At 42.5% G+C, this 10,644-nt stretch overlaps 1 annotated feature.

Annotated features, from left to right (window-relative positions):
- Positions 9,743–9,942: a silencer, noted in NCBI's record as "silent region_16090". NCBI's record gives its function as "represses an Ori minimal core promoter by ATAC-STARR-seq in GM12878 lymphoblastoid cells {active_cell/tissue: GM12878}" and the evidence as "EXISTENCE:reporter gene assay evidence [ECO:0000049][PMID:35858748]".

The following is a 10,644-nucleotide window of genomic DNA, read 5'->3' as shown; positions in this document are numbered from 1 at the left end:
TTCTCTCCTTGTGTTGACTAACAAGAGTAAAACCAAATTTGTGGCCTATTTTATCAAATATATAGGAATTATTTGCATGTATTTTGTGTGTATAAACCTCACTCTTAGTTTCTCTTAGTTTCACATCTTTATTTTCCCGTTGCTGTGTTCCTTGCTTATTTTTAATTTATTTCATTTTGTTGTATTGTATGTGTCTTTATTCTGCCTAAAATACTTTGTGGAGTACTGCAGTTAGAAGTAAAGAAACACAATCGACTTATGGAAATAACATCTAAAATGTAGATTTGCATAACCCTTCAACTTATTGAATGGCTCAGAAAGACACATATTTACCTTCTACTTGTAATTATCCTTAGGGAGAAGATTGTAGCTCTGACACTTTCTCCACAGAATTATATTATTGGAAACAGCCCAGACCATTTCCAATGCTTACATCAGAGTGCTTGGCTGGAGAACTGGGGTGAAGGGAAAATAACTCAATAAGTCTTCCTGAAAGTTCACTTTTCAAGAGCCAGATCTTGGTAAAGGAGAGCAGAAATGTCATTGGGAATCAATTAGAATTTAAGAAGGCTTGGTGCCTCAGTCTACAGCAGATACCCAAAGCAGAACTCTGATAAAAGGGAAGGCAAAGGACCAAGACAATGGAAATGAATTTGCTTTTTAACCAAACCGATATGCACATAACTTTAAAAGTCAAATTATGCAAAGGTTAAAACAAAACAAAAAAATCACTCTTTTTCTGCCTCCTCATCTTACTATCCTGCTTCTTGCAGGCAACGAATTTTAGTGCTTTTCTTCTGATCTGTTCTTCTATATTTATAAATAACATGCTTAAGTTGCTGTTTTATTTTATTTAATTTTAAGCATAATCCAGGGACTTCTTAGGATAGATAAGGTTTTAACTCTTGTATCACAACATCCTCACTCCCTGCCAACTTTCCTAAACATTTTGATTAATCAACATTCACTACTTACATTATTACAGCTATACAAATATTATTCCCTGCTGGCCTAAGGAGTGAACTTAATTATATTTGTTTTCTTATGCTTATTTTTTGCTTATCCTAAATTTAATAATTGTTTTGTTTTTATTTGCTTAGCTAAATGCTATTCCTAAGTTTTCTTAGCCCCTATCACAGTCCCTCAATACAGTTTCCCTATAGTCAAGCCAGAGAAATAATCAGTTTCATTTCCCTAGAGATCTCCCTCACAGAGCACAGTCTCCTATTGTTCTAATATAGAGTGTTTACGCTCTAGACCTGATGCTCGCTGTCATCCTAGAATCCCTTTCGTAGTTCTCTTGTGTTGCACTTCCTCTTACCTGGCTGCTATGTCTTCCTTTTTCTTGGTTTTCTTCTTCATTTCAGTGCAACACACCCTTCAGTATGACATGAGAATACACTGAGAAAGGGTGCAGGAAGGTCTTTTTTTTTTTTTTTTCTTGAGATGCTGCATGTCTGAAAATATCTCTTTTCAACTCTAATGCTTGGTTTGGTTAATAGTTTGGTTAGGTATAGATTCTAGGTTGAAAGTCATTTTCCTTCACCATGTTGAAGACATTTCTCCGTTGTCTTTTCGCTTAGTGTTGCTATTGAGAAATCAGCTATCCTGCTTACTCCTAACCCTTTGTGTGGGACCTGTTAGTACACTCTATCCCTCCCCATTCCAGAACGTTTTGGGATCTTCTTTTTATCCTTAGTGTTCTGAAATTTCACACTGACTTGCTTTTTTGAGTGTCTTCTTCTCCTTCATTGGTTTATCTCTCAGTGGGCCCTTTCAATCTGGAAACTTAAGCCTCTAATTCTGGGAAATTTTTAAATATTACTTCTTTGATATTTTCTTCTCCACAATTTTCTCTTTTTCTCTTTTCTCATTTCTGATTTTACCTATTAATCAGAAGATAAATATTGAGTTAATTCTCTAATTTCCTTGTGTTTTTGGCTCTAAATTCCCTCTCTCTTTGTCCTACTTTATGAGAGAATTCTTCAACTTTATTTTCCCATAGTTTGACTTCTTAATATCAGCTTTTATCATTTACTTTCCATGAACTTTTTCTTGTTCTCTGAGAGTCCCTTTTATCATAGCACCCTGTTTTTTTCCGTTTTTGTTTTTGTTTCTGTTTGTTTGTTTGTTTTTTGAGACGGAGTTTTGCTCTTGTTGCCCAGTCTGGAGTGCAATGGAGCGACCTCAGCTCACTGCAACCTCTGCCTCCCAGGTTCAAGCAATCCTCCTGCCTCAGCCTCCCGAGTAGCTGGGATTACAAGCAAGTGCCACCACGCCCGGCTAATATTGGTATTTTTAGTAGAGACGGGGTTTCACCATGTTGGCCAGGCTGGTCTCAAACTTCTGACCTCGTGACTCGCCCTCCTTGGCCTCCCAAAGTGCTGGGATTAGAGGCGTGAGCCACCGCGCCCGGCCGCGTCATGTTTATGTTTCATGGCTGCATCTCTTCTCGTGTCTCTCAGAGGACATTAAACTATAATTTGTTTTACATTTTGTCCTGCTACCTGAATGGACTTTTTTCTCCCCTGATTCCAGTTTTCTCTTGATTTGCATTTCACATTGGATTGCCTGAAATGTCTGATGATCATTGGCTATCATCATATGTAAGAATGAGGCACTTAAAAATCTGGGAAGCTATACCTGCATAAGTGGGGGCTTTCAGGGGCCTCCAGCTATCAGAACATGTAGGACAGCTCAGGTCCTACAAGGAAGGATTCCCTAACATCCTAACTAAGAGATAACTTCATGTTTGCCACCTTCTGCCTGACCCCACACTCCAGTGTACCTGATACCCTTGAGCCCAGAGCTTGTCAGGTCCAATTTCTCCAGAAAATAAGCCTCCCTCTTTTGGGGATAGAAAAGACTCAGTTGCCTGGCTTCCCAGAGTGGGGTGAGAACCTGAAGTCAAATTGCTTTTCAAAGAGACTTTCAACCAGTGCCCCCACTGCGAGCCGACTCCTCACCTGTCTTCTACATTACCCAGCACCTCTGATTCTCAAGGCTTCCCAAAGTCCTGAAGGTACCAGCTATCCTGCTTCTCATCACATCCTCCCTGAAGCCTTCACCGTACTCCGTTCTGCTGTCTGTTGTCACTCATTCATCCACCTTCAGTCTTTATTTATTTATTTTTTTTGAGATGGAGCCTGGCTCTGTCACCCAGGCTGGAATACAGTGGCACGATCTCAGCTTGCTGCAACCTCTGCCTCCCAGGTTCAAGCAATTCTCCTGCCTCAGCCTCCCAAGTGGCTGGGATTACAGGCACCCGCCATCATGCCTGGCTAATTTTTGTACTTTTAGTAGAGACAGGGTTTTACCATGTTGGCCCAGCTGGTCTCGAACTCCTGACCTCAGGTGATCCGCCCACCTTGGCCTCCCAAAGTGCTGAGATTACAGGTGTGAGCCACTGCACCCGGCCTCCTTCAGTCTTCATGCATTGCAACTATGGTTTATGCATGCCACCCAGTTTCATTAAAGATGAAGTCAAGCTTCTGTTTCTCTTTCTCCTTGTTGTTATTCAGACTAATCACTGAAAGAAAGGGAGTAAAAAAGTCTTTACTCAGCCTTCTTAACATCAGAACCTATCCGCTTTTCTGAAGTTGATTGCCAGACACCATTTTCCATTAACAAACAAATGTGGAAACTCTTAAACTTATCTGCTATGTTAGCTTAAACAGTTCATGCCATTATTTCTTGACCTTTCATAGTCTGTGGCATAACTAGAAATTTGCAAGTACACGCTTTGCACTAAGCAGATAATTATTTCCTTCTCCCCAACTCCAGCTTTCTGTCCATCTGTCCTCACTGCATATTTTATAAGCACACAAATCAGTATCAAAAAAATGTCCCTAAGAAAGGCAGCCAATCTTCAAAGAAGCAAATAGGACATGGCCCATTTCATGGAGGGGGAGCAGTTCAAAAGCCACTGAAATGTCAACATGGTTTGAAAGATGTCGATTAGCAAAACAGATATAAAGATGCCATGCTTGTAACAAGCTTGATTAACAGAATGATGAGGCTAATTAGAAAAATTTTAATAAAACATTCTGGTGTTGAAAGCTAATCTTTGATGAGCTGGAAAAGAAAGAAAAATAATCCTGAACCATTTCTAAGTTTAGAAAGATTTTGTTTATCTTTCTTTGCTAGAGTTGGGGCCAGCAGTTCTGATGGTTTGGATTAGCTCTTAATATTCCTTGCCATTTGGGTGTTCAAATCAGTGGTGCATTTCTGGGAACAGACTGTGTCACCATAGACAGCAGACTGAGGAATGAAGGCCTTCCACATGTGAGGCACAAACACCCCCTCTTTTTTCACCACTTCAACCAGCATCCTTTAATCAGTCAGGAACCCTAGGACATCAGCACACCAAGGAGGTCTGTATGATACACCAAGTCCTCCTTGGTCAGCAGGGTTCCCAAGTTCCCAGTTGCTCACTAAGTTATATGCCTTCCTTTGATAAGACTAGCACCTTCAAGTCAAGCAACGCTTCCTGTTACACACCTCAGTCACGTTTCTAATAAATCTACACTGCTGAAGTTGAGGCAGTAAAACAATGGCAGAGGGTGGGGGATATTAATGTGGATGAGAGCCTCAGAATTTTTGAGAATGGTTAGGGACAAAGAATCCTTTCACCTGGAAACCTACTTTAGACTTGAAATAAACTTCATGTGTTCATGTATTCAATCACTTTACAAATTCATTTCAGTTACCAACTGCTATGTATAAGATTTGTAGGCCGAGTGTGGTGGCTCATGCCTGTAATCCTAGCACTTTGGGAGGCCGAGGTGGGCAGATCACCTGAGGTAGGGAGTTCAAGGCCAGCCTGACCAACATGGAGAAACCCCATCTCTACTAAAAATACAAAATTAGCTGGGCGTGGTGGCGCATGCCTGTAATCACGCTACTTGGGAGGCTGGGGCAGGAGAATTGCTTGAACCTGAGAGGCAGAGGTTGTGGTGAGCCAAAATTGTGCCATTGCACTCCAGCCTGGGCAACAAGAGACAAACTCTGTCTTTAAAAAAAAAAAAAAAAAGTAGCATATTGAAAAGAATTGGAGTTTTACAACCAAACAGACCTGAATTCAATTCCTGATTTTGAAAAGACTTTTTCTGAGCCTCAGTTTCTGCACTATAAAATGAAAATAATAACACCACCTTTGCAGGATTATTCTAAGGATTTGGAATAATGTACAAAAAGTTACTAACATACGTTGATTATTTAATAATTGAGAGCTATAATGTATTATTACTATTTTATTGTTATTATATTACCTCTGTCAAGCAGTATAAGCGCTCAGTTCAATCTTCCATATTTATGTAAGCATAGTTCTTCTTGTCAGCCAGCGTCTTAGCTGAACAGAAAGAAATTCACATTCCCATTAGCTTTTTATTAACTCCTCTCAAACATAGGAGGTCTCAGTACCCCTGACAAAGACTTCCTCCTTGGCCAAACATTAGTTGGGATCCTCTGAGCCATCTTCTCGACTAGGCCTTCACCTTGGCCTCTCAACCTTGACATTTGTCTGCTGAGCCCACTTTTAGCAAAGAATCCCCCTAAGCCAGTTTATTGAGAATCCACCTACCCTTGATGTCTAATCAGTTTCCTCTGAATAATTTTCCATCTTCTGACCCCTCACTCTGACTCATTGGCTATAAATTCCCAGCTGGCTTTGCTATATTCAGAGTTGAGCTCAGTCTTTCTTCTCTATTTCAACAGTCTTTAATGAAGTCTTTCTTATTGTTTTCACAAATGTAATATGGTTTGGATGTTTGTTCCATCTAAATCTCATGTAGAAGTGTGATCCCCAATGTTGGAAGTGGGGCATAGTAGGAGGTATTGCATCATGGGGCCAGATCCTCATGGATGGCTTGGTGCCATCCCCTTGGTGATGAGTGAGTTCTCACTCAGTTCACAAGAGATCTGGTTCTTTAAAAGAGTCTGGGATCTCCCCTTTCTCGCTCTTGTTCTCTCTCTCACCATGTGACACCACCTGCTTCCCCTTCACTTTCTGCCATGATTGGAAGCTTCTGAGGCCCTGACCAGAAGCAGATGCTAGCATTATGCTTCATGTACAGCCTGCAGAACTGTGAGCCAATAAACCCCTTTTCTTTACAAATTACCCAGCCTCAGGTATTTCCTTGTAGCAAAGCAAGAACCCACCAATACAAAGGGTCTGAATAATGTTTCTTTAACATCCCTCATCTCTATCTGACCGGAAAGTCATGATGGTGCTACCGCCCATAAAGACATCAAATGGAACTTGGCCTCCCATAGTTAGGACGTGTAATCAGGAGAGACCAGTTGATTCCCCTGAAGCCAGGCTACCACTAATCCATACGCCACACTGGACAAACACCCATCCTCTGAAATGCAGCAATAGAGCCAGCTCCACTTGAGGCCCTGAAAGACGTGTAGAGGGCTCCATTCCAGGCTTACTCAGGCCTCCTCTGCATGCCTACCACCAGTCTCCCTGGAAACTGCGTGGCTGCTCCTTGGCACCCCAAGCCAATCGTCTTGGCTCTCCTTGTAGGCCCGCCCTTGCCCTCAGGGCACACCACATCATTGACCTCTCTCCATTCACTCTTCTGATGAAAACTCACCCATCTTGCTTTCCCAGTGCCTCAGAGCCTTGCTGAGTGCCTCACTAACAAAGCTGACATCTCTATTGTCACATGTGAATGGCTGATACTAATTCCACGTTCTCCCTCTCATATTCGCACTTGTAGTATATCTGGAGCTTTTACTGATTCCAAATTTTAGGCCCCGCTCATCCAGTTCTGTTTTCTGGTGGAAAACAATGAGGTGGAGCTCTTGTTAAATATAGATTACCACGTTAAATATAGATTACCAGGCATCTTCCTGAATAGTCCAAATTTGGGTCGGGGCTCAGAAATTTAAGTGTTTTTTTTTTGAGACAAAGTCTCACTGTCACCCAGAATGGAATGCAGTGGCACAATCTCAGCTCACTTCAACCTCCACCTCCTGGGTTCAAGCGATTCTCCTGCCTCAGCCTCCCAAGCAGCTGGGATTACAAATGCCCACCACCATGCCTGGCTAATTTTTGTATTTTTCAGTAGAGATGGGGTTTCACCATGTTGGTCAGGCTGGTCTCAAACTCCCGACCTCAGGTGATCCGCCCACCTTGGCCTCCCAAAGTGCTGAGATTACAGGTGTGAGCCACCGTGCCTGGCCTATGCCAAGGGATTTTTATCTTCAGGGAAGATTAGGAAACACTGAAATTCTACTGTAATTCTGGTCATTTTACAGAAGAGGGCATGGAAGCCTGAAGAGTAGCAATAGCTTCCCCAAGGCTGCCCAGCTTCTCCTTGGCAGATCCAAGTCCAGCCAGAGGTTTGCTGACCCCCAGGGCAGTGACTGCCCTTCATCATACAATATCTGTTGAGGAAGAGGGAGGCTTTGATGCCGGACCTTTTTTTTTTTTTTTTTCCTGAGATGGAGTCTCGCTCTTGTTGCCCAGGCTGGAATGCAATGGCGCGATCTCGGCTCACTGCAACCTCTGCTTCCCAGGTTCAAGCGATTCTCCTGCCTCAGCCCCCCAAGTAGCTGGGATTACAGGAATGCACCACCACACCTGACTAATTTTGTATTTTCAGTAGAGATGGGGTTTCACCATGTTGACCAGGCTGGTCTCGAACTCCCTACCTCAGGTGATCCACCCGCCTTGGCCTCCCAAAATACTGGGATTACAGGCATGAACCACCGTACCTGGCCAGCAATGCTGGACCTTTAATCACTGTGTTGGAGGTGGGTGGAGAGAACTCTACAGCTAATCTTTGATGAGCTGGAAAAAAAAAAGAAAAATAATCCTGAACCATTTCTAAGTTTAGAAAGATTTTGTTTATTTTTCTTTGCTAGAGTTGGAGCCAGCAGTTCTGATGGTTTGGATTAGCTCTTAATATTCCTAGCCATTTGGGTGTTCAAATCAATGGTGCATTTCTGGGAACAGACTGTGCCATGCCTCTTATAATGCCTTGCACCCATGACTGTGGTCTAGCCTTGCTCCCATTTTGAAACAGGAAATTAGCAGGTCTGTGGGAAGTAGCAAGTGCTGCTTCCCTGTGCTTTTCCTGGGGATCTATGCTCTGGGCTTTGGATCAGGAGAGCCAGCTCCAATCTCCAGTGCCCTTGAATGAGTCACTTTATCCATCTGGGCCCCAGTTCCTTCATGTGTAAATTATGGTAATTGGACTAAATTAGGGTTCCAAAACTTTTCCCAAGAAGGACACCCCCGCTAAGGTGCTCAAGAGCTAAGTATGGAGTCACAGTAACAGAAGAATAAGGGCTGATATGCTGAAGAGGAGAGAGGAGCAAAAGAAGCCGAGCAGCTCTTGACATGAGACGTCGTGGAGCGGAAGGAGATGAGGCAGGGTCCTCCGCTGTCTGTTCCTCAAACCCAAGTGATGGATGGACCCCTTCATGTTCTTGAAAAGTTATTGCAGGCTCCAGCTCTCAACATGTTGCCATCATTTTCATTTCTATAATAATGTTATTTCAATATCTACAAATATAAAACATTGTATGAGCTCCATGATTGTAGATTACTGTCTCAGTCCATTTGGGCTGCTGTAACAAAATACTACAGATTGGGTAATGTGTAAGTAATAGTAATTTATTTCTCACAGTACTGGAGGCTGGAAGTCCAAGATCAGGGCCCCAGCAGCCTCGGTCTCTGGTGAGGGCTGCTCTGTGCTTCCAACATGGCGCCTTCTTGCTGCATCCTCACAGTGGAAGAGGGGAAGAGCGAGGCCGCTCTCTGCAGCCTTTTGTAAGGACGTTAATCCTGTTCACAAGGCTGGAGCCCTCATTGATCCTCATGACCTAATCACTACCAGAGGCTCCACCTTCTAAACCATCATCTTAGTCATTAGATTTTAGCATATGAATTTCATAGGGGCATATACATCCAAAACATAGCAATTACTGTGTAATTAAAGAAAAAAATTGAAACCAAATACCATGTAACTAATAAAATTCAAAATTTCAATGTTCAATTAATGTGATGGACATGTTTTGTAGAAACTAAATTGCTACTTTGGAGCTGATGACAGAAAAATACTAGGTCAAGTCTGGTCTTTATTTAGTCTGTTTCTCTATGGTGAGTTTCAAAATATAACTTATAAGAATGCCTGTTTCCATGCAAAACAGAAGTTCTAATACATTCCTGCCTTTGTTTATAACTTAGGAGAAAGAAACCTTTCACTTAACCAACACTGTGTAAGTGAGCAATACAGGTGTCACTTGGTAACTCTGCGAAGTCGTCTCTTTATTTAAAGATATTAATCTTTGTTACAGATAATTATCACAGTGAAGACAAAAATTTTAATTCTTACAGAGAATTTGCAGATTCTTGACATACTGTCCAAGAACTCTGAGAAATGTTGAGTTTCACAGGATAAACTAAATTTGCTTTTTTAGGAGATTTGGGTTCAAGTCGAGCCCTGTCTCTAACCAGCTATTGAAGTCTGGGCAAGTGTTCACATCTTTGGGCATCTGTTTTCTCATCTATAAAATGATCCTACGAATTCCACTTACCTCACAGGCTCTCTGAAAGTAAAGAGAGTCTGAAGGTACTTAAACAATCCTCACAGTGCTTACAAATGGAACACACAATCATAACGGCAGTGGCAAGTGGCTGGTGATTTATCTCCAAGTGCCTTAAAGTGTTCTGGTCAACCATCCCTGAGTAGCATGGGACAGGCATGAGTATCTTCTGGCCCTTCCAGACCTTGGGTCCACGATGCTCCGAGCAAGCAGCAAGGGTGGTGGTTATTGGCCCGTGTGCTGAAGATCTCAAATGAATGAGGGCCCATTCATTGCTCTCTGCTGCCCTCTTGAGTATAGAAATTGGCCTTGCACCAGATGGGGTCTCAGCAGTAAGTTAGGAGAGGCAGTACAAGCCTTCTGGGCAACCTCAGCTCAATTTCCTGACAACCCTTGTTCTGCGTGCCTGTGCGTGTGCGTGTGCGTGTGCGTGTGTGTGTGTGTGTGTGTGTGTGTGCATGTGCGCGCGCATGTGCATGTATCGGCCTCCGCCAAAAGATAGGTGAGTGAGGATTTGCACTTCAAGTATTCCCCATTTCTTAGCCCCAGTCCCTCCTCAGGATTCCACTGTCCCAACCTCACCCTTCAGGCTTTGTGTTAAGTTCCTCAACATTTGGAAGGAACTGTCTGTACAACTCCTCCCCCTCTCCTCTCTTGGTTGTTAATGGCTTATTTAAGACAGATTTTGGGGCCCAGAGACCCCATAACGTTTTCTCATGTCTGCTGACCTGCAGTGGAATGACTTGCAGTTATATAATAGGCACTGGAGGAATAAATACATGTGCTATGGTTTGAATGTATCCCCCAAATTTCATGTGTTGGAAACATACTGTGATGCAGCAAGAAGGCACTCACCAGATGCTGGCCCCTTGGTATTGGACTTCCCAGCCTCCAGAACTATGAGAAATAAATTTCCTTTTTTAAAATAAATTACCCAGTCTGTGGTATTCTGTTATAGCAGTGGAAAATGGACTAAGACAACACGCTTTGTTCTACTTTTATGTCAATGTCACAGGTCTATTTTGATGTCTAATCCTATTTTTAGATCTAATTTCATTTTAATTATTAATGTTTGCATTAGAT

The sequence above is a fragment of the Homo sapiens genome, chromosome 5 (assembly GCF_000001405.40).
Source record: "Homo sapiens chromosome 5, GRCh38.p14 Primary Assembly".
Taxonomy (NCBI): Eukaryota; Metazoa; Chordata; class Mammalia; order Primates; family Hominidae; genus Homo; species Homo sapiens.
The sequence above is the reverse complement of the archived record's forward strand: the minus strand, read 5'-3'. Positions and strand labels throughout refer to the sequence as shown.